Source organism: Homo sapiens, chromosome 4 (genome assembly GCF_000001405.40).
Source record: "Homo sapiens chromosome 4, GRCh38.p14 Primary Assembly".
In the NCBI taxonomy this organism is placed as follows: domain Eukaryota; kingdom Metazoa; phylum Chordata; class Mammalia; order Primates; family Hominidae; genus Homo; species Homo sapiens.
The window spans coordinates 177,888,479-177,911,725 of NC_000004.12; the positions used below are offsets into that span (position 1 = coordinate 177,888,479).

Consider the following 23,247-nt stretch of genomic DNA (forward strand, 5'->3'; position numbering starts at 1 on the left):
AAAATATAACTTTTGCACTCTTTCATTCTAAATTGCTAAAACGTATTGTTTCTGGGACGAATGTGCTATTTAAAAATTTTGCTTCTCAGTTTCATATAATTAGTCTCCCACTCTCCAGAAAGCTGTTGGACAGACTGTTGGAAGTAAGATCAGGAGTCTATGAGATGAAATTTTTATAACTCAAATCCCTGATCTTCATTTTAGTTCTAAATGTTGGCTAATTCTTGGCAGGGCTCAAGAGACCCTATGTAACTACAAACCATCTAGGAAGCTGGAGGCCAAGAATTAGGTAAACATTGAAAGTACTTATTAATTTTTGCGGGAATAATTTGATGAATTTTTTATGATGTGAGAAAAAAATTAAAATTAGACTGTAATTTTGAAAACAATCACATCTGTGCAGAGTACCTTGCTCTATTCTAGGAAATTTAAAAAATAGAAGGCATGATTTCTATAAAATGAGAGTATGTATATACATTTTTGTTACTAGTTGTATATGGAAACAGGACGTTTTTGAGGTTTCCTGTATATGAGACTCTTCATGGCTATAGAATGAAGTTTATAGCATAAGATATCTATGGTCACACTTTTATCATTTCTCTCCAACAACAGGCTTATTTTTTAAAAAAAGTCAGGTACCATTTTACAATAAAAAATAAGTCATTTGGCCAGGTGTGGTGGCTCATGCCTGTAATCCTAGCACTTTGGGAGGCCCAGGCGGGGGTGGATCACCTGAGAGGTCAGGAGTTCAAGGCCAGCCTGGCCAACATGATGAAACCCCAGTCTCTACTAAAAATACAAAAATTAACTAGGCATGGTGGTGCATGCCTGTAATCTCAGCTACTTGGAGGCTGAGGCAGGAGAATCGCTTTAACCCGGGAAATGGAGGTTGCGGTGAGCCTAGATCACACCACTGCACTCCAGCCTGGGCAGCAAGAGTGAGACTCTGTCTCAAAAAAAAAAAAAAAAAAAAGTCATTTAACGGATATCATGTTTGACAACATTATCCAGAATCTGGAATATTAACCATAATACTAAAAGAACAATTAGCATTATCAAAATTATAATAAAAATATATATTAAGTATTCATTGGGAACAAGTATCAACACGTAATTGAAACTTAACACTTTCTAACTTTTCTTTCTTTCTCTTTGTAGTGCCTTCTTAACACTTTTAATCATAGTTTTTCAATGTGTAAATCTTCTTTGCAGTGTTAATTGATATTTAATATTTCAGTTCTCTTTTCTGGCAGGACTACAAAATGCTTATGAATTTTCTTGAGGTTATTAATGCTGCCACTTTAGAAAAACATCAAATTTGTCTACTACGTACAAACAGTGTAAATTAGAAAACAGTGGTTTAGGCCGGGCACAGTGGCTCACGCCTGTAATCCCAGCACTTTGGGAGACCGAGGCAGGCGGATCACGAGGTCAGGAGATCGAGACCATCCTGGCTAACACGGTGAAACCCCGTCTCTACTAATAATACATAAAAAAAAAAAAATTAGCCAGATGTGGTTGCAGGTGCCTGTAGTCCCAGCTACTCGGGAGGCTGAGGCAGGAGAATGGCCTGAACCCGGGAGGCGGAGCTTGCAGTGAGCCGAGATTGTGCCACTGCACTCCAGCCTGGGCGACAGAGCGAGACTCCCTCTCAAAAACAAAACAAAAACAAAAACAAAAAACGGTGGTTTCTATGCAGTTACTGAAATTGTAAGAGTAGTACCCACCAAATTAACAATTTCATGTGGTTGTACAAAATACTCATAAGTCTTGCCTTTTTCTGGCTCTTTTCCTTTTCATTCATTAAAAAATAGTTTTCTTACGTTTGAAAATTCTTCTTAAGAAAGAAGTATAAATTAGCCGGGAGTGGAGGTGCATGGCTGCAATCTCAGCTACTCAGGAGGCGGAGGCAGGAAAATCGTTTGAACCTGGGAGGCGGAGGTTGCAGTCACGGTGAGACTCTGTCTCAAAAAAAAAAGTATGATTTTCTTGAAATTTCTTTCTTGACCTCCTCTAAAGTTCTTATGTTTATCTAGGGGTGTCTGAGTCTGTCTTCTTCTTCACATACTCCTTCAATTTTTTTTTTTTGAGACTGAATTTGCTGTTGTTGCCCAAGCTGGAGTGCAACGGCATGATCTCGGTTCGCGGCAACCTCTGCCTCCCAAGTTCAAGCGATTCTCCTGCCTCAGCCTCCCAAGTAGCTGGGATTACAGGCCTGCACCACCACGCCTGACTAATTTTGTATTTTTAGTAGAGACGGGGTTTCCCCATGTTGGTCAGGCTGGTCTCGAACTCCTGGCCTCAGGTGATCTGCTTGCCTCGGTCTCCCAAAGTGCTAGGATTATAGGTGTTAGCCACCATAATATTTTTAATTGCTTTCTTGGTCAGGTGTACATAAGGAGGTGGGGGACTTAAACTTCACCATAGAATTTCCTTTCACCAAATCTTGCTGAAATGAACAAAAACTAGTAAAAGTAAATAAATGACAGAAACAAGACAAATAAAAAGTTCTACCAACAAAGTAAAATAAGAGAGAGATAATCTAATAAAATCATGTTCAAAACTCCAAGCCAAGGAATAAAGCAAGATTCATTTCATTGGTTCTTGTAGGAAAAGCAAAAAGAAATGACAGTTTAACAAACTGTTGTATTTCTCTAGAAACCAGGATGGTTTCTAGAGTAAATTATAAAGTCCTGAGGAGTTGGCCATTAACATCTCCAAATGTATAGAGGAAGAAAACAACCTTTTCCCTAGTCTGATTGAGGAATAGTGGAAAGTACTGACAGCTAGAAACACAGTAAAGCATGGTAAATTGAACAGGGCTGATTCTCTTTAATAAATTAAAGACTATATGCCTACATATCGGATTGGGGAAATGATCCAAAGCCTAATGGTACCCTTCTATGTGAGTAGACATATATCACTAAATTAACTGAAATAAATACCGCTAATGGGAAATTAACAAAAGTCAATGTGTTCTAATAAAGACTGCATATGGCCTGAAGTTAAGCTATTGAAACTCAAGGATAAAGACAGAATTTTTTTTTCGACAAGTAGACCAATAAATATCAACTAAAAGCAGGAAAAATTAGGGTGATCTTCAACTTCTCCATAGAAACAGTCAAAGTCACAAGACAATGAAGCACAGTCTTCAAAGGACTGCAGGAAAGAAAATGCAACCCAGAAACAGTATTCATGTACAAGTGTGAAAGAACTTACGAGGTATGAACCACGCATTTAAAGTAAAAAAGAAAAAAATATTCCTAATAAGGCTATTTAGACAATTAGAGATTAATCAAAATCATGAGCTCAGGATTCAAAGTTATTGTTACTTGGTGAGCACAGAAACCATTCATATGTAGAAATAATAGTGATAAAACAACATGGCACTACCTGTTGTTACTAGGTACCTGATAGTTTTCTAAGGACTTCCTTCAATTAATTTTCTCAAAATTTTAGAATGTAGATACTATTATTATCTCCATTTTATAGACAAGAAAAATGGAAGTGTAAGTGGTCAAGGCAACTTCAAAGGCACAGAAAGAGGCAGAGCAATTAGTTTGAATCCAGGAAGAGTCACAAGGATGGCCAGCCTCCCTCCCACTTCCACTAACTGCCCCTGTAGCCCCCAGCCCTGCAACCATAGGCATTCCCGCTACAGAGCACATGGGGCCATCACAAACCTGGCTCAGGGTTATTAGGGAAGCCATGTTGCCTTTTGATATATGTTGCATTTTAATTTGAATTACTGTAGATCACTTAATGTGAAGGAATTCCTAGTATATTCACAGTTATATTTTTCAATTTGCCATTGTTCTCTTTGTCATAGCTGTTATTCCTTTTTCTCTCTTGCCATCTTTTGGATTCATACTGTGATTATTGTATTTATTCAATTTTCTCTGCTCTTGGCTTGTCAATGATATGTCCTCCTGCTAGTATTTTAGTGGTGACCTTCCAGATTAAAACGTGCATCCTGGGCATTGTTGTTATTATATTATTAGAGTGTATCATAAATCGGTACTTTTATATTCTCCAGACAAGTCTAGGGACATAGAGCACTTTAAGCACATTGATCTATCTGCCTCTGTGTTCAGGACTGAATCCTGACAGATATAGATATAATAACTCTACAGAAAGGTCACAAATCATAAGTATGCAACTTGACACAAAATGAAAATATCTGTATAAACAGCACCCACATCAAGAAACAGGACATGGCCAGTATAGGAAAAATTCTTATGTCATTTACCAGTCCTTACCACCTCCAAGAAAAACCACCATGTGACTTCTAACATTTTACAAAAAGGTTTTGTCTGCTTTCAAACCTTAAAAATGAAATCACGATTAATACATACTCTTTTGCCTTACTTTCACTCAAGACTCCTACATAAACCTTTGCTTCTATCCATGGTATTTTTTTATTTTAATTGCTATATAATATTGCACTGTACAAATTTACTGCAATGTTACAGATACTAATTCTGTGCTATAAACCATTGAAAAAGACATACTGACTTACAATAATTATGTATGTAATTATATGTATGTATCTGTGTTATATATAAAATGTTTATATGTTAATTTATGTAGTTATATATGTATATTATATATTCCATGCCAGAAGACAAAACCCACAGCCCTAACTCTCCTCTGCCTTACTCTCCATCTAAGTCTTCGGTAGAACAATGCTCTTACGATTCTTAGAAGCCCGATTATTTCATAAAGAGGATCTGAAAGGCATTCCCTGAGGATATTTTTAGGTCTTTTTTCTGTCTGAAAGATTTTATGAATCACTTCATTAAATATTTCTGGGTTCTTAATAAAGGATGTTATGGTGCTGAGATTTGTTCTTTGATAATTTGAGAATGTTTTGCCATGAGGGGTAGGCTGGAAATGAGAAGCAATTTTATTTTACAACCCAGTATGTCCTGGCTTTTTACAAGTTCAACTCTTCTTTATGTCTTGTCTCTCCTCTCACATTTTATCTCAGACAATGAGAAGATACCAGATGGCACTTTAAATATTCTACCTGAAAATCTCCTTAGCTGGGTCATCAAGTTCAATGGGCACTTTTCCTAGTTTTCTCATTACTGCAGATGACAGCGTTGTCAACAATTCACCGTCTGCAAAACATGGGCCATGTTCCTCCCCCTTCCAATAACAGTTCCCCTCCTTTGAGTGTTCACTGGCAGCCTCCTGGGGCCTCTACACACCTCACTAACAATTGTCAGGACAGCCTTTAGGCTGTCACCCACTTTCTGGTTCTAACACCAGTGTCACAGATTCAAGCACTCATTTCTGGTATCCAATTCTGTTCCACTTATTACTGATACATAAAAAGTACCTCAAAATACAGTGACTTAAATCAATGCCAATCCTTAATTTTAGTGACAAACCTGTAATTTGGGTAGGACTATGCTGGGTCAGTTTATCCCTGCTAGGCCCAGTGTTCGCTGGAGTCAGATTGATTCAGGGCTTGGGGATTAATTTTAAAGGTGGCTTGCTCATGTTGGGGGCATGATGGCACAAGCAGGCAGCTGTAGGCTCATCCAGGGTTCAGTTTCTCTCCAGGCTGGTTAGTCAATGGGCTGCCTGGCTTCATGATAGCATGGTGCCTGGGTTCTAAGAGTGAACATCTCAGGAGAATCAAGTAGGAACTATCTGGTCATTTTATGACTTAGCTTCAGAAGTCACATAGTGTCACTTTAGAAATAATTACCCGTCCACCCAAATTCAAGGGGAGAGGGATACTATACATTCCACCTCTGGAGAATAAAATTGTCAAAATTTTATTTTAAAAGGAGTATGTTGGATTGGAGATTATTATAATTAGTCTCACACCACTGAACCATTTCCCTGTTAAAGAATGTGGCCTTATTTTTCTATTTGTGGATAAACAGTGCTATAATATTATTTTAGTGCATTTCTTTGGAGAACATATATTTACGTTTGTGTAACCATCTAGAACCATAACTATCAGATGTTAGGATTTGTATATGATTAGCTTTAGAAGATGATGCCAAACAGGTTTCACAACTGGATCACAGGCATACCTCATTTGATTGTGCTTCTCAGATACTGTGTTTTCATTTATTTAATTAATTACTATTATTATTATTTTTGAGACAGAGTGTCTCTCTGTTGCCCAGGCTGAAATGCAGTGGCATGAACTCGGCTCACTGCAACCTCCGCCTCTGAGGTTCAAGTGATTCTCCTGCCTCAGCCTCCTGAGTAGCTGGTATTACAGGCGTGCACCACCACACTCGGCTAATTTTTTGTATTTTTGGTAGACACATGGTTTCTCCATGTTGACCAGGCTGGTTTCGAACTCCTGACCTCAGGTGATCTGCCCACCTTGGCCTCCCAAAGTGCTGGGATTACAGGCGTGAGACACCGCACCTGGCCAGATACTGTGTTTTTTTACAAATGGAAGGTTTGTGGCAACCTTGCATCTAACAAGTCTATTGGTGCCATTTTTTTTTAAACAACAAGCACTCATTTCATGTCTTTGTGTCACATTTTGGTAATTTTTGCCATATTTAAAACCTTTAAGTTATTATATATGCTATGATCTGTGATTAGTGATCTTTGATGTTAATATTGCCATTATTTTTGGGTGCCACAAATTGTGCCCATATAAGATGACAAACTTAATGGATAGATGTATGTGTTGTGACTGCTCCATCAATTGGCTTTTCTCCCATCTCTGTCTTTCTTTGGGGGCCTTCCCTGAGACACAAAGATACTGAAATTAGGCCAATTAATAACCCTATAATGGCCTCTAGTGTTCAAGTGAAAGGGAGAGTTGCACAACTCTGACTTTAAATCAAAAGCTAGAAATGATTAAGCTTAGAAATCAAAAGCTAGAAATGATTAAGCTTAGTGATGATGGTATGTTGCATATTGAGATAGGCTGGAAGCTAAGACTCTTGGGCCAAATAGTTAGCCAAGTTGTGAATACAAGTTGTGAATACAAAGGAAAAGTTCCTGAAGGAAATTAAAAGTGATAATCCAATGGACATATGAATGATGAGTCTTATTGCTGATATGCAGAAAGTTTGAGAGGTCTGGATAGGTCAAACCAACCATAGCATTCTCTTAAAGCCAATGCCTAATCCAGAGCAAGGCCCTAACTCTCTTAAATTCTGTGAAGGCCAAGAGAGGTGGGGAAGCTACAGAAGAAACTTTGAAGCAAGCAGAGGTTGGTTCATGAGGTTTAAGAAAAGGACTATCTCCATAATATAAAAGTTCAAGGTGAAACAGCAAGGTCTGACGGAGAAGCAGCAGTGAATTATCCAGAATATCTAGCTAAGAAAATTGATCAAGGTGGCTACACTAAACAACAGATTTTGAATGTAAATGAAACAGCCTTCTGCAGGAAGAAGATGCCATCTGGGGCTTTGATAGTTAGAGAGGGCAAGTCAAGGGCTGGATTCAAAGTTTCAAAGGACAGACTGACTCTCTTGTTTGGGGTTATGAAACTGGTGACTTTAACTTGAAGGCGATGCTCATTTACTATTCCCCAAATCCTAGGACCCCTGAGAATTACATTAAATATACTCTGCTTATGCTCCAGAAATGGAAGAACAAAGCCTGGATGACAGTACATCTATTTACAGCGTGGTTTACTGAATAATTTAAGCCCGCTGTTGAGGCTTACTGCTAGGAAAAAAAAGATTGCTTTCAAAAGATTATTGCTCATTGACAATGCACCTGGTCACCCAAGAGCGCTGATGAACATGTACAAGGAGATAAATGTTTTAATGCTTGCTAACGCATCATTCATTCTGCAGCCCATGAATGAAGGAGTAATTTAGATTATGAAGTCTTATTATTTAAGAAATACTTTCTGTAAGGCAGTTGCTGCCATAGATAGTGATTCCTTTGATGGATCTGGGCAAAGTAAATTGAAAACCTTCTGAAAAGAATTCACCACTTTAGATGTCGAGAACATTCACAATTTATGGAAGGAGGTCAAAATATCAAGATTAATAGGGGTATATACCCAAAGGATTATAAAACATGCTGCTATAAAGACATATGCACACACATGTTTATTGCGGCACTATTCACAATAGCAAAGACTTGGAACCAACCCAAATGTCCAACAATAATAGACTGGATTAAGAAAATGTGGCACATATACACCATGGAATACTATGCAGCCATAAAAAATGATGAGTTCATGTCCTTTGTAGGGACATGGATGAAGCTGGAAACCATCATTCTCAGCAAACTATCGCAAGGACAAAAAACCAAACACCACATGTTCTCACTCATAGGTGGGAACTGAACAATGAGAACACATGGACACAGGAAGGGGAACATCACACACCCGGGCCTGTTGTGGGGTGGGGAGAGTGGGGAGGGATAGCATTAGGAGATATACCTAATGTTAATTATGAGTTAATGGGTGCAGCACACCAGCATGGCACATGTATACATATGTAACAAACCTGCACGTTGTGCACATGTACCCTAAAACTTAAAGAACAATTAAAAAAAAGAGATAGGAATTTTTAAGAAATTGATTCCAACTGTCATGGTTGACTTTGAGGGGTTCAAGACTTCAGTGGTGGAAGTTTTTGCAGATGCGATCGAAATAGTAAGAAAACTAGAACTAGAAGTGGAGCCTGAAGATGTGACTGAATTGCTGCAATTTCATGATAAAACTTGAATGGATAAGGATTGCTTCTTATAGATGAACAAAGAAAGTTGTTCATGAGATCAGATCTCCTGGTGAAGATGCTGTGAGCATTGTTGAAATAACAAGGATTTAGAATATTACATAAAATTAGTTGATAAAGGCAGTGGCAGAATTTGAAAGGATTGACTCCAATTTTGAAAGAAGTTGTACTGTGGGTAAAATGCTATCAAACAGGACTGTAAGCTGTAGAAAAATATTTCATAAAGGCAATAGTTAATCAATGTGGCAAACTTTATTGTTGTCTTACTTTAAGAAATTGTGACAGCCATCCCATCCTTCATCAAACAGCACTCTAATTAGTCAGCAGCCATCAACATCTAGGCATGATCCTCCACCAGTAAAAGATTATGACTAGGTGAAGACTCAGATGACTATTAGCATTTTTTAGCAATAAAATATTTTAAAATTAGGGTCTGTACGTGTTTCTTTCAAGACATAATTCTATTGCACATTTTTAGATTACAGCATAGCGTAATATAATTTTTGTACCCATTGGGAAATCTAAAAAATTTATGTGACTTGGTTTATTATGATACTGGCTTTATTGAAGTAGTCTGTAACTGAACCCACATATCTCGGATGTATGCTTGTGTATGATTTTACAATCCCACTAACAGTTTATTTCCACTCCTCAAAAGTACTTGTGTTTGTGTAGGCTAATAATAGCTGGCAATTATTTGTTCCTTGTCCTTGAGAAGGAGAGTCTGATTCTCTTCCCTTTCAATCAGCTCTGGCCTTGATAAATTTCTTGGCCCAGCAGACTGCAACAGAATTGAAGTTGTAGGACTTTCATGGCTAATTAGAAATTATGAAAAACCCAAACCTTGTGCTTTCTGTTTGTGCATCTTGAGATCCCCTTGTTTAGAGCTACACGCCCCGATGGAAATGGTCTGACCACCCTGAGATCATGTGCTGGAGGTCTTGTTGACAGTATGGTCCCAGCCTTCTAGAACATTTTTTAGATGTCTGTCACATGAATGAAGTTGTCTTGAGTATTGCCCACCAGCCCACCCACTAGACTAGTCTTGAATACTGCTAATGATTTCCAACAAGGCTGTGACAGAAGAATCACCAGTGTAAGGCTGCTGGATTCTTGACACATGACATCATGAGATAGAAATAAGGAAACAGAAATTTAATGAGAAAGAGATAATGAGATATAAAATTGAAGTGCTTTAATCTATTAAGTTTTGGGGTAGTTCATTCTGCTGCAATAAATAACTGGAAGGGTATGTTGTTTTAGCCATTATGATCGCTATTTTGCTTTAGCCATTATGATGTACATGTGGTAATAGAGCATCGTGCTTTTAGTTTGCATTTCGCTGACAATTATAGTGCTGAGCAACTTTCCATGTTTCGATAATCTTTAGTGACATCCTGTTCAGTTTTTTTCTTTTGCCATTTTACACTGAGATTATTTTTCTTTGTGGATTCTTTACATTAGATTGACCTATATAGAGTTGGGCTTTTAAAAAATTTCTCCTTTAATTCTGTTTACTATTGCTTTATTCATCTTGAAGCTTGATTAATGGTCTTATACAGATTTAGGATTATGATACTTTCCAGATATGTTGGCCCTTTGCGGCAGTTATCTTTTGACACAGTGTTTTATAATAACGACACAAATCTGGTAGCCAAAACAATAAGGAGCTATATATTTATTACAAGTCAGTGGACTGACTGGGCAAATCTTTTGGTCAAAGATAGATTCACAGATGCAACTGCAATTCGCTGGGGACACTTAGGCAATTCTTCCAAGCTTGGCTTAGCGCTCTCATAAGTTGCATAAAAACTGTGCTCCCCTTCATGTGTTTTTCACGTTCACAAGTCTCTCCTATCATGTTGTCTGGTAGCCTTCTTGAAATATTCTAACTGTGGTCCCTCGGCCCAACACACACACACACACACACACACAAACATAAACCAGGAAGAAATTAGAAGCACACGATACTCTTTCAAGCCTTTGCTTTCAATAAATCTGCTAATATCCTTTTAGCCAAAGCAAGTTTGTCAGTCTGTACCCAATCAGGAAAAAGAGATGACACCATTATTTAAGTAGAAGAAGTTTAATATAAATAATTATGAAGCTATATTAGGAGAACAACCTATAAAGATGTAAAGATAGTTAATAGGTGCTCCAGGGTTGTGAGAAGATCAATAAAGGAGGGAAAACATAATAGAGGGTGGTGTTCTTCCAAGGCTAGGGGTCCAATCTCATTAGAGAAGCTGCGGCTTTAGCTTACTTGATGACAGTAACACACACTGATGACATCTTCCAGAGTTAGTTCAGTCACCTGGTAATCAGGCTATAACTTTCATGCACGTGAAGGTGAGCTGAGACTTGGGGGTAGGTATGCAATGAGAGTTGGAATGTCACTATCGTTGGCAAACACAAAAAAAGAACACAAAGTTCATATAGAGGAGGCCATGAAGAGTAAGCAACTAGGGCAACAGAGAGCTGAGGCTAGCAAGTGGGCACATAGAATCATGTCACTGCTGTGTGCATGAAGCCTGAAGCATGTGATTTCCATGTTAGGAGGGCCCCTGGAAGCAACCTTCCAGGATGCAGGTAAACCTAGGCTGGTGGGAGATTGCACAGGGTGCTTCTGTGGGTATGAGGCTGGGAGCATGCAATATTTATATCAGGAGAGCTGTGAGAAATACAGCTCTCTCCTGCAGACAAGATAAAGGCACATAGGGAGAGCAGGGTGCTACTAGGAGGCTTGGAACATGTGGTGTCTGCACTGGGGACCCCGAGAAGTCACCAGGCCAGGCCAGAGTCATAGGACCACTGAGGGACTACCACTCTGGACATCGGCTGGGGCAGAGACCCAGCAGATGTCCACACATTTATGGCCACAGATAGATAGATCATAAAGCAGGAGCAAGAAAAATAAAAATACAGAAAACTCAACTCAAACTTAGAAGAGCACGCTTTTTCTTCCTACATTGTCTTTCTAGTGACCTCTCCTAACAAAACATCATGCTTACTGAAAAGGAGAAATAAATACAATGATATTGCAGAGTAGGTACTGAGGGTGAATTTGGAGCTAAGGGACCATAAATTGATGACTAACACAGGCAGTCATGTGGCAAAGCTTATATTCAGCGTATGGGAAAATTGACTCCATCTCTTTAGTGAGAAAACTGCAAAAGCATAAGACAAAGGGCAAATATAAACATAGAGCTTAAGTTTTTGGTGATCAATCAAAAATGTAATAAACCACAAGTCAGTCCCCAGCCATAATGACTCAGAAAACTTCCATGTAGAAAACATGCTCATTTCTCGCCTTGATCCCTCCTCACATTTCATTCAGTTACATCAAATTCATAATTCAGGATCTTCTGATCAACCTCAAATCCACGTATGTGGTTCCTTTTGTGTAGCTCCTTATATTCTGCAGAATTTTTGATGAAAGAGGGATGTTATCTGGACCCCCCCACCACCTGTAACTTCAATGGTGCAAAAGAAAGATAACTACCTGATGCATTTATTGTAGAAAATTTTACTAATTTTCTACTCAAGAATGAGAACAACGGCCATATAGCTGTCACTGTCTCAATGGTATTCTGAAATCTAGCTTGGAAAATGTTGGCAGATATTCCGAATTTTGGAATATTTTATTTAGGACTTAATTATAATAATTGAGAGTAGACCTACAAATCATTTTCCTCCACATTTCTTGGTTCTGGTTTTTTGGACATTCATTTTATTTTTATTCTTCTCCTTAACTACTTCTGAAAGGACACTGGAAAATTTGTGACTTAATCAACTTTTACATTCTCCTTTCTGCCTATAGAAAGATACGGCAGAGAGCTTTTGTTTTTGCATTTTGAGCAACATCAGTCCATTTAAATCCAGGCTGGAGGCATTTTTGACAATTAAACTCCCTTAGAAACTTTGCGGGTTTCCAATAAAATTGACTTCATTCAACACCATTAACCAAAATCCACTCCTACAATTCCCTAACAAATATGCTACTCTTCCTAGATACATGATCACTTTGCCCATAATAAGCTGCTATATCACAATGTTCTCTAGATTTTTGAAACTGAGATAGTATCCTATGCATTGCATATTTGAGATGGTATCTACCTTAATTAATTCACAAGTCTTTTACTGCCATACCCTTTATTTTAAATGCAATTGCATTCTATATTTTCTTTTGAGAAGCTTTTGCTCTCTGGAATGTTTGGAGATTACATTTTCATATCTAACATATCAAGTTCTCTTTGCTTTATAAATTCTGTAAATTCATCTCTGTATGTTCTAGTACAGCTTATCATATGTAGCTTTTACGGGCCAACTGACCCTGTCAACATTCCATTAGAAATATGTTTTGTTTTGGTCCTAACCAACTGTTCACTAGGTATATTTTTCTATATTCTAATTTAATGCACATGATTGTTCTATGGTCATTTCACTACTGCCCAACACAGGCTGTAATGTTTCTGGTCTTCAGTAATTTTCTTACCATTTTCTAGCCTTTCCTATCAATTTTCTTGCTAGTTTTTTTTCAGCTCTGTCCACTGTCAAGTACTAAAACCAGTACATATTTTAAATTTTGTTATGATATCACTCCTCTTCTGATACCAGTTTCTGTATCAGTTATCTGTTTTATATAATAATGTTTCTAAATGCAGTGGCTTAACAAGTGAACATATTATTCTTTATCTGTCTACAAGTGGGCTGAGTGGTGATTGTATTCATTTCTCAGTTCACTACCACAATGCTAGTCAGCAGCATGTAGGTTAGTTTATTGATCTTGGCTGTTCTCTCACTCCCACTCTCTTGCCTCCTTCTTTGGAAGCTGTCTGACTATTGGCTGGACTATTACAGTCTTAGTTTGGACAACTTATCTCTTCCCATGTGTTTCTTTTAGCCACATGTTTCTAAATTCTTTCCAGAAGGATAGTTTGGGCATATTCTTCTGACTATCACAGACAAGCAAAAGAGAAATCCAAAACCCACAAACACTTCATCAAGGTTTTATTTATGTTAAAGCTGCTAACATTATTTTTGGCTAAGACAATTAATAGCAGTAAGCCCAAATTTAGGGCTGGGAAAATATACTCGAACAAATTAGTTAAATGAATTTCACAGTCACAGCAAAGGACATGGATACTGGTGGAAATGCACAGTTGAGGTTACCAATACAATCATTCAATTATACACCTTTGCCATTATAAAATATACATCTCTTTCTTTCTTAATGCTATTTGTTTTACCTTAAAATTGAATTTTCATGATATTAATGTATATAGATAAATTTTTTGTTATGTTATTTTTCACTCAATTTCAATATTTCTGAATACAACTGTAATTTTTAAGACAACAAATTGCTTTTTTTAAGGCCAATAATCTTAGTGTTTTATGTAGCATATTTAATCCATTTATATTTATTGGTATTGCTGATATCTCACTTTTTATTTTCTCTTTGACCTACCTCTTCTGTGTTCTTTTTATTCCATTTTTGATTTAATTAATTTTGTCTTATTAATTTCTTACTATGCTTCTACCTTTTCCTATAGATATTACAGCATGCATTTTGATGTATTATGGAGTTTAAAACAAACGAATATTTTGACCATTCTCACAATACCGTTAGCATCTTTAAAACTGTTAAGCTCTATCAACTCCGCACCCACCTCTTGCATTTCATGAACATGTATATCAATGTACATATTTTGGCCATCATAGGAAACTGTAATAATTATTTATTAACATGAATAGTAATTTATATTTATATAGTTACTCTTTTCAGTGCTTTTTATTCCTTTTTACATTTTTACATTTCTATGTGGAATAGTTTTCTTTCTAATTGAAACACATATTTTAGTTTTTTCTTTTTAATATATTCCTGCTGGCAACAAATACTCTCAAACTTTTCTGAAAATATTTTTATTTATTTTCTTTTATTTATTCCTTGAATCTTTGTTTTTCTTGGAACACCATTGTTTCCCCTTCATTTTTGAAAAGAATTAAAAAGTACAGTGAGTTCTCATTTATTCTGAGGGGACCTATTTTCTTCCTACAGGATACCTATCTAGTCAACTACCTTTTTAATTTTAGTGATAATTTGTTCATTTGAGGTATTACGTGGCACCCAATAATTAAGTAGTGAAAATAAAATACCATAGCAACAAAATTAGGTTAAAAAATGTTTAAAAATTGAAGTGTTTGCCTAAACTTGTAGAGAAAGGTATCATCTTTACAAACTTTTTGAGTCATTTTTTTCTTTCAGTTTACTGACAGTTAAATATCATAGTTGCCTCCATTGTAAGTATCATATCATTATACATACTTTTTGGAAGGGGTATTTCTGAAGCTCTATGGTAATAAATTGCATGTTTTGTGATCATGTCCACTTGATATGTTCATAAAAGTTACAGATACTCTTGCCATAAATACATTTAAATATCAAATTTTATACATACACAGAAAATTGTGTATACATTTTCAGTGAGTTCACATATCTAACTAAATTATACTTAAATAAAAGTACAGCTTGGGCTGGGCACAGTGGCTCACGCTTGTAATCCCAGCACTTTGGGAGGCCGAGGCGGGCGGATCACCTGAGGTCAGGAGTTCGAAAACAGCCTTAACATGGAGAAACCCTGTCTCTACTAAAAATACAAAATTAGCCGGGCGTGGTGGTGCATGCCTGTAATCCCAGCTACTCGGGAGACAAAGGCAGGAGAACTGCTTGAACCTGGGTGGCGGAGGTTGCGGTGAGCCGAGATCGCGCCATTGCACTCCAGCCTGGGCAACAAGAGAAAAACTCCGTCTCAAGAAAAAAAAAAAAGTAGAGCTTGGACAAGAATTAAACTTTGACTACCAATTATTCAACTACTCATTGTTCTGTAGCACATTTACTCAATTAAATAAACTACAAGAGTGTAATTTAATAGATATAATTTTTTCTTTTAGGAATAATCTCTATATATTTTCTCTATATAATTACAGAAGTAATTATTGTTTTATTAAAGTATTTTCAACATTTATGAAAAATATTAATGCATATTGACATGGTAGAAAAGTTATGTTTTGTTGCATTATTTAAAAAATTAAATTATTTTCTCTATTTTGGGGCATACAATTTATAGATGCCTAAAAATGTTGCACGTTTAAAAAAAAGACAAAGGTTATTGAATAAGTGGAAAACCAAAACACAGATCCATTAGACATATAGTAAATAAACATCTTATAGCTTTTACATCAACAGAAATTACAATTGTGCTGCTTTTCTGTTAGATGGGGACAGATTTCTATGGCATACTTGCTACATTTTCACCTAACATTTTCTTTGATCAATATTCATCATTTAATAGAATACTTTACGTGAATCTTCACTTTATTATACTGTTCTTTTACCAAGTTATTAGCACTTTGGAAGAATAGTGTTGTTAATTTTGCTTTCGGAATCTCCTACAATTAGAGAACATAGCATAACTCTTTTTACAGGTTAATCAACCAAAACGTTATCTAGGTAAGATCAGTTATGAAATTAGGACTGTACATTCCTGAATTCAAATCCAATGACTAGCCCACCGTATTTCTACCATGATTCTTAGCAATAATAACATAAAGACTTCATTAAAACACATAAAAAGACAAATGAAAAAACACACCAAAGAAGCCCCAACACCATCAAAAGGAGGTTGGTTAATTCTGATTGATAGGTTCAAACAGCCTTTGCACACAATTTTCCCAAATAAAAAAGTCCAAAGTCTTTAAGACTTGCAAAGCCCTTGATTGCTTCTCTGGTATCCTTGTCATTAACCCCTTCTTTTCCACCATCCGCACTAACATTTTACTCTGCGGTTATAGTTGTTTTTAGGTTTCAAAAGTTTAATGTTTGTTATCTCTTTCTATTGCTTTCCCAATATTACTCTTCTCTTACCCATAAAGTAGCAATAAACTCACTGTATTTTGTGTTTTTCATTTTCTTCATAACTCCTACAAACTACATACTGAGTGAAGGAGAAACCATGTCACTTTTGCTTGTCATTGTATCTCCAATGTTCAGAACAGTAATGGGTATATATTTGTTGAATAAATAACATAAACATACTGCTAGTGAGTCTGATATTTCCAATCTAGAGCATTAATATAGCTATGTAAATAAGTTTCCCTCATTGATTTCAGTGCCTTTATATTTAGAAACTACAACGATTCTGCTAGAGAGAAAAAAAATTACTTGTACTAAAACACACATTTTCATAGAAATTCTCTAGGATCCTCTCTCAGAAAAACATCTATTAAACATTGGATGCTATTTTCCATTAATGCTATTTTAGGAGTGATAGACTTTAGAAAAATTTCTAGAGTAACAGAACATATTATTATATGTAGTAGCCTCTACATTATTTAAGTATTTGATACAACTGATAGAACAATTTGAATATCATGTTTAAGAGGGTTTAAATGTCTATTCATATAATGTTCTAATGCTAAAGGCTAAGAAGATCTGGTTGCTAAACCAACTGAGAGCAGTATTATCTTGAAATATATATCAGTTTTATAGCAGCATAAGGTCAGACTCTAGCTATGATAACTTTTTCTCTAGTGATCCATTGAGGGCAGTGTAAGGGTTTTATGATGATATCTTCATTCTCCGTCAATCACTCCATTTTAAACCTAGATCTTTGGATATTTGCTAACAAGATTTCTTTACAATTAGAATCACACTTTAAGATTCTGTTGTGACAAATATCTTAAATATAAATATTTGTAGGATAGTACTCTTGTAATCTAATGTGGTTTTGTACCCGAAGTCTTCTAAATAACTTAATTTTCTATGTAACCATAGTATTAATATAACAACTCTGTACTACAGTAATAGCCTTTTAAAAATATTCAAAATATTTCATGCCTGTAGAGGGAACAAATAAAAATATATTCAAATTAATATCCTGTTGTGATCATTGTAATGAACATACTTAAACCTTTGCTTCATGACTCAGGTTCATCATTTTGCTTAGTGATTTTACTTTTCTCTAGAGTATGTGTAAGTGCTGTGAACTCAGCATAATCTTGGGTTTATCTCTTCCTAAATAAATTTCACCTACAGCCATGATTTAATTAATGTGCCACCACATTATTATTATTGTGTGTGTGTGTGTGTGTGTGTATGTCTGGGGGAATTGCCTTTTCTAAAAACAGTGTAATGCACATTCTTTAACTCTAACAAAACTGGTCTCCATATATAAAGAATACAACATCGGTGGTATTCTGAAGAAAGGCTAGAGCAGTATAGTCAAAATGCAATGCAGGATACATTGAAGTGTCCAAAGAATAAGGCAGGTGGGGCATCTTTATGAAACTGTTACCAATCAGAAGATGAGCACAGAGTGGAGTCTGTGTCAGAGAGGTAGTCCTGAAACAGGGCTTTAAATGTTGTGGTTAAGAAGATAATATGTATCTCAACATTTCAAAATCAGGTTTACATAAGCTACTAAATATTCACCAGGGACAGTTTATCCTTAAACCATAAATCTATGCCAAGTATAGTTCATAAAACTGCTATAGGGAAGTTCTCATTTGTCTCCACAATGTATTCTGAGAAACCTTACTGTACAGCAGATTGTTATAAAAATTTTATATTTTCTCATAGGAACAATGTTATAATTTGATGTTATATGGTAGACCAAGCATTTAATAAATCATAGACATGACTGAAAATATGTCTGAAAGTAACATACAACTACGAATTTGTGCAATAATTTTAAATGATAAAATTATGCTTGGTGTTCTGTTCAATGAACATAAATGTACTATATACTCTGATAATTCACAGGCCCCAGTGAATCATAAAATGAAAGCAGAATATATAAAAATACAATTCTGCTACATTATAAATTTGACCTATCATAAGATTAATTTAATTTTCCTCTGTGATTTTGTATATTGTTTTCTCTAAGGACCTCCTCATTCTATTACTACACCCCCATACACAACTGAAATAGTTCCTATATTCAATGTAAATTTTAATACTCAAATCCATCCCACTTACAGTATGATTAAATGTTGAAACTGAGAAGCATCTCAGACCAAAGTGTGGAAAAGATCAGATGGTTATTTGGAAACCCTATTTCTAAATGGTAGAGGGTGTGCCTGAGCTACTACTGACATACGTTTGTATGGATGTTTTGTTTGTTTTTGTTTTGTTGTATTTTTGGAAGTCAATTGTATAAAGGAAAAAAATTACTCTTTGAGCAATTAAAAAACACGTGGAAGAATCTCCATAACTCTTTCTCTCTGTTATGTTCAAGGAGGTGTCATTTCAGATACTGTGCAAATGTATTTATTCCAGGCCTTAAGTATATTTCTTTAAAATTTTGGTCAATATGCTCTTACTGTTTTTTTTAGCTGTTTTTATCTACAGTATCTTCAGTATTTTCTGACATCAGCTATTCCCAGTCTCTTATATCTTTAATTTTATCTTGCTGAGGCAATTTGGCTAATAAGCATGTTCAAATTTCACCTGTGTCCCAATGTAAACACACACACATACACACAGAAAAACAACAACAAAAAAATTTTAAGAACTCTTACCTTTTCCCAGACATCAGTTTCTGTGTTTATAACAAACCTTCAAAGGATGTCTGTGCACGCTGCCGCTGCCTCTGCTTCCCATTCTCATGACGGTGGAGCTTCCTCCCCTCTGCTTTCTGGCTTTCTCAAATGTTTTTTAAAGTAAGTAGCTGACAAAGTCAATCAGCCTTTGCCATTCCTCCTCTTTTTCTCCTCTGGAACATGTGACACTGTCAACACTTCCTGGAAATCCTGCACTCTCTCACGATGTGCTCTTGTACTCCTCCTGCTTTTACTGCTGTCTTCTCAGCTTTTTCCTACTCCCTAACACAGTTTTTGCTCTAATATTCTGCACTTGTTTATCTTTTCCAGCACAGTTATCTTCACCAATCTTATTTATGCACAGCGTTTTTCGTTTCTTCACAGAGAAAGTTTCCCAATTGTCCATCCGTTTGCTGACTTCTCCAGGACTCACATTCCGTAATACCTGCTGGGAATTCTGAGCTGGTTATCTCCCCAGAAGTTTTCTGCCCTAGATAAGCTACTTGCTTTCTTCCCGTTTTATCAGTTTCAAACCTAACTGCTCTCTAAAATTCAGGTGCGATATCAACCCGGCTGTGAAATACCCCAGTTTCAATAAATGCTCCTTCACTTGTGCTGCTTTCTACCTACATTTAGAACCTCTCACATCTATTCTTACATTTGTTTACTAAATGTGTTCTTATCACTACAACAGTATTTTCAAATTTACTGAAGGAAAAGAAACAATTCCGAAACAGCAAAGTTATTAAATATTCAGTTAGAAACTATTTTGGTAATATGCATATCTATATCTATATCTATATCTATATCTATATCTATATCTATATCTGTGTGTGTGTCTCTCTCTCTCTCTGTGTGTGTGTGTGTGTGTGTGTGTGTGTGTGTGTTAAAAGTTAGACTTATTTCCAGGATTTTTTTATTAGAATTTGTGAAAATGCTAACAGTGTTAAAATACAGTGACCTTAAAAGCTAACAATATGACAAGGTTGGCTTCATTTTTAGAAGTAGGTACACTGTCTCCAAAGGGTTTTATTTACTACAGATATTTGGTCTGTATATTTAGTGCTGAATTGTATGATTCTAAACATTAAAATGTAAGCAGCACATTTAACATAAAAAGGAAACCAGCTCTAGGTGAGATACATGTGTCACAGAGATTCTCAGTTATTAATGTTGCTACAAAATTTCCATTCTAATAGCACCACAAGAATCCAGGTATGCATAAGGCAGTCTCCATTAAGAATCAGTAGCAATCTTATGTTGCAAAACATAGGGTGTCTTTAGTTTTAATATGTTAATTTTTATCTCAATTCTGTGATATCACTTCAGTGTGGAGAAAACTGAAAAAATACACATCAGGTTCACTGCTGATTAAAAGCTTTTATTTACATTTTTACCTGATTTTTCATTCTAACCTAATATGCTAATTCATTAAATAAACTTCATATTATCATATTGTGAATTATTATCAGTAGCCCAGATGGAATCTTCATGTGAATTCAAGATAAAGGCATCCTATCTCAATATGCTTTACTTCCAACTGTCATACTGATTTCGTTGGAACATACATGTCATTGCTATCTATCAAATAATTGTTGCAACAAATATATAAATACATTATATTTGTGAATGAATGGCAGCTCCTTAAACTGTGGCATGCTTGTGTAATACACGACCCCCACAACAGTGTGTGCTGTGTGTACAGGCCATGGACTGTGCTACGGTTTGCAGATTAAATGTCCCTGAGCTTCAGTTACCTAATTTCTTAAATGAGAATGGCACCTATCTCATGACTTTTTGTAAGCATATGGAAAGGTATTACAACGTGAAGTATAAAATCATTATTCAATAAATCTGTTTTCTGTGTGTGTGTTATTTTTTAACCTATACTTCAGAACACACTGAAGATTACTTTCTCTAAGAATGGTGTCCTGATGCTCTCGGCCAGGGGTCAGTACGTTTTTTTCCTATAAGCTACCACATAGTAAATACATTAGGCTTTGCAGGCCGTCTGTTCTCTGTTACGACTACTCAACCATTGTGTTATAAAAGAAGCTGTAGATAAGACAGCATGCAAATGAATGATCGTGATTGTGTTCTAATAAAATTTAATTTACACACACAAACAAAAATAGACTGTATGATTTGGTCCACAGGTTATAGTTACTGACTCGTCATGCCAGCCCACACTATCTCATTTTCAATTTTCAATTTTTAGGCTTTGATTCAGAAAAAAAGTTTCAAAGTAAGGAACATTAATTTTCTCTTAAATCTCAGTTTGTGCCTATATTAAGGCTGAAGTTAGAGAAAGCTTATTTGCTGAAGGCCTCTTTTTCTTGACTGTATGTATCTCTGAAGTTTTTTACTTTCCTTTTTCCTTTTCTCTTTTTCTTGACTGTATGTATCTCTGAAGTTTTTTATTTTCCTTTTTCCTTTTCTCTTGTCTAAACTGATGTTTTTCTTCCCTTCTTTTGGGAAGAAAATACTTTTTTTTTCTATTGACGTTCATTATTTAGGCATTATTCCATTTTTTTTCACTTTTTTTCTCATAAGTATATGTTTATAAATCTACTTTATGTAAGCAACTTTATTTTCTAAAGTTATATACTTTTTTAATTAAATAAAATGCTCAAGGCAGCCTTTCTCATATTCTGGGGTGCCCAGCATCTATGTCATACCTTTTGTGGCCTTTCAAAATTCCTATATTCTGATAGTCTATCTCCTTATGAATTTTTGCTCAAGTGAAATTATCAACCCTATTAATGGTCAGAGCTATTGTTCTACAAGTCACCATTAACTCGAGTTTGAGGCCTGAAGCAATCTGTGAAAGAAGGCCTTGGAACAATGCAGTTGTTCTACCGTGTATCACAGAAAAGCTAATTTAGCTTTCATAATGAAAACAAGTATCAGTGTCCTGAAGTTTCCCAGCCCTGGGCAGGGATGCGTATTCAACTCCATCAATGTGAAAATAAAAGTTATTTTGCTATTTTTAATAGCGTCTATTACTCAAAGAGTATTTACTGCTTCTTATTCTTCCTTCAGAGCTGGTTTATTTATTTCAGTCTTATTCTTGCTATAGAGAATCTAACTAACTTTTTTTTAAAAAAGAAAACTGAAGTCAAACCAATAATCTTCAAAGACATATGAAACTACTGTATGCCAAGCAGTGTGGCATCAAGTACAACCTATTTTAAAAGTTAAGAAGAAACATAATGAAAGATTTGAATGTACCACCTACACTATATTATTGATTATGTTAACCCAAAGTACATACTATGTAGCTAGTTAAGTATTACAACTTTGTTTTAAAAGAAAAGGGTCAGGCGCGGTGGCTCACGCCTGTAGTCCCAGCACTTTGGGAGGCCGAGGTGGGTGGATCATGAGGTCAGGAGATCGAGACCATCCTGGCTAACACGGTGAAACCCCATCTCTACTAAAAATACAAAAAAAAAAAATTAGCCGGGTGTGGTGGCGGGTGCCTGTAGTCCCAGCTATTCAGGAGGCTGAGGCAGGAGAATGGTGTGTACCCGGGAGGCGGAGCTTGCAGTGAGCCGAGATTGTGCCACTGCACTCTAGCCTAGGTGACAAAGCAAGACTCCATCTCAAAAAAAAAAAAAAAAAAGGCAATACACTAAATATGAATTTAAGTAAAATTCAAAGCAGAATATTCTTTTATTAGAATTTCCACCAATACACTCAAAGGAATTCAAAGACTCATGACCACAAAACAAGTTTGCATTAATTATCACGGTGTGATATCAGTATTTTTAAATATATACATGCCCACTTATGATAGGGTTATGTTCCAGTAAACCCAAGCTAAGTTGAAAATATCATAAAGTTGAAAATTCATTTAATACATCTAATATACCAAACACCATAGTTTAGCCTAGACTACTTAAACAGGAAATTTTTCTTGTCCTGTTTGCAGGCTTTCCAACAAGGGTGTCTCACTTACTCA

At 35.9% G+C, this 23,247-nt stretch overlaps 2 long non-coding RNA genes across 3 annotated transcripts in view; one reads left to right on the forward strand and one right to left on the reverse strand.

Annotated features, from left to right (window-relative positions):
• The window catches only part of LINC01099 (long intergenic non-protein coding RNA 1099), a 95,891-nt gene extending 76,433 nt beyond the window's left edge, over positions 1-19,458 (reverse strand). The window contains exons 1-2 of one of the 2 annotated variants that reach the window (NR_108093.1): positions 19,266-19,458; positions 14,906-15,470 (exon numbers count right to left, since the gene is read on the reverse strand). This is a non-coding gene — a long non-coding RNA (long intergenic non-protein coding RNA 1099). Of the gene's footprint in view, positions 1-14,905; positions 15,471-19,265 lie in introns of those variants that run through there. The other variant, NR_108092.1, reaches the window with a different exon arrangement.
• The window catches only part of LINC01098 (long intergenic non-protein coding RNA 1098), a 261,994-nt gene that overhangs the window by 159,722 nt on the left and 79,025 nt on the right, over positions 1-23,247 (forward strand).